The sequence below is a fragment of the Homo sapiens genome, chromosome 5, assembly GCF_000001405.40.
Source record: "Homo sapiens chromosome 5, GRCh38.p14 Primary Assembly".
Taxonomy (NCBI): domain Eukaryota; kingdom Metazoa; phylum Chordata; class Mammalia; order Primates; family Hominidae; genus Homo; species Homo sapiens.
Window position 1 is genome coordinate 169,415,779 of NC_000005.10, and position 1,461 is coordinate 169,417,239.

A 1,461-nucleotide genomic window follows, 5' to 3' on the forward strand; every position below is an offset into this window, starting at 1 on the left:
AGGAAAAACAAATATTGGGGAAAGGGAGAGTATGCATAGCTTTTATCAGAGTCAAGAAAAGAAGCCCCCAGTATGACAGGTGGAGAATCTATTATTTCTCAATGCCTTGGCCTTGTTCTAAACTTAGCTAGTTAACCTATATTTGAATAAGATAAATAGATATCTGTTAAACAAGATGCCCTCTCCTGTCTAGCTCCTCCAACACTTCACATGGTGTACATTACTGGAACTCAGGTAGTTTAACGGCTCCTGCTGTTCACAAAGACAAAAGAACAGTCCTTCCACAGGCTCCACCTCGCCTAAGGTTACAGAGAACCTGGGGCTGGGGCCCATGGCGTTCCTTGCCAGCCTTCTCTTAGGTAGGAGATCAAAGCCTGGGCAGACAGCCCGCCGACCCTGATTTGCATCATGAAAGTCACCTGTCCAGCACTGCCCCAGAGGCAAAGAGATCAAAGCTGGGAGGGCAGCTGGGAGCAGGGAGGAAATAAAATATTGATTTAATGAGATGCATGGTAATTCTCCTCCATCCACCTTCTCAGTAATGAAAGTGAGGCTGTGAAGTGACCATTATCCGTGCTCCTTTCATGAACCCACATTATGGCTCCCACTTGCCCTGCCATATGGGTCTCATGCAGTCTTTCCCAGAAAAAGAAAAACAGGAGGGAAAAGACTGAGAGAGGCCATGCAATCAGATGGTTTCCCAAGCACCTCCACCACCTTGGTGCAAGTATGCCATAAGGAGGTGTGTTCTGAACTGTTTCAGTCCCAGTTCAAAAATAATTACATGCAGAAACTCAAAATCTAAAACAGATAAAAGAGCATCTGCTCAAAAAGACATGGGGGAAGGGTACTCTAGAGCCCCCGATGCTTCTTCTCTAGTAACTGAAGAAGCCACAGAGGACAAACGGAAAATGACTTTGCTAACTTTGAGAATTTCTATTGCTGAAGTGCTCTGAAGTTTACCATACTCGAGCTGGGCTTCAATGAATGGGTTGAAGGTGGGCGGAGATGAGAATAAGAAGGCATGTCAAGCTTGGTAACAAGCTGAGATCTTAAAGCAGCAGACAAAAGTCAAGTAATGGGCATATTTTCTGGCTGGAAAGGCAAAGCGGGGCAGAGACATATTGATTTCGAGGTCTTGGGGGAATTCTCCGTCTGAAACTCCTGCCGAAGATGACGTCACTGACCCTCATCAGAGGCCGGGCCCTGGGGAGCTGTGGCTCACCACAGAAGCAGCTACAGTTTCTGTGTAAGAGGAGCCAAAGCCCTTTTGGCCCTGGCTGCGGAGTGTGGGCGGGCAACGGAGGATTTAAGGATTAAGTGGTGAAAATGTTAAGTGAGCACGGGCTCCTTATTCATTGTCTAGATTTTAACATCTTTCAGCTTTACTCCAATACCCAAGCAGGACCGTTTATGTGTTTGTTCACCATATTTCTTAAAATATGATTAAGTTTGTCTTTA

At 45.9% G+C, this 1,461-nt stretch overlaps 1 annotated feature.

Annotated features, from left to right (window-relative positions):
* Nucleotides 1,106–1,235: an enhancer, noted in NCBI's record as "active region_23592". NCBI's record gives its function as "activates an Ori minimal core promoter by ATAC-STARR-seq in GM12878 lymphoblastoid cells {active_cell/tissue: GM12878}" and the evidence as "EXISTENCE:reporter gene assay evidence [ECO:0000049][PMID:35858748]".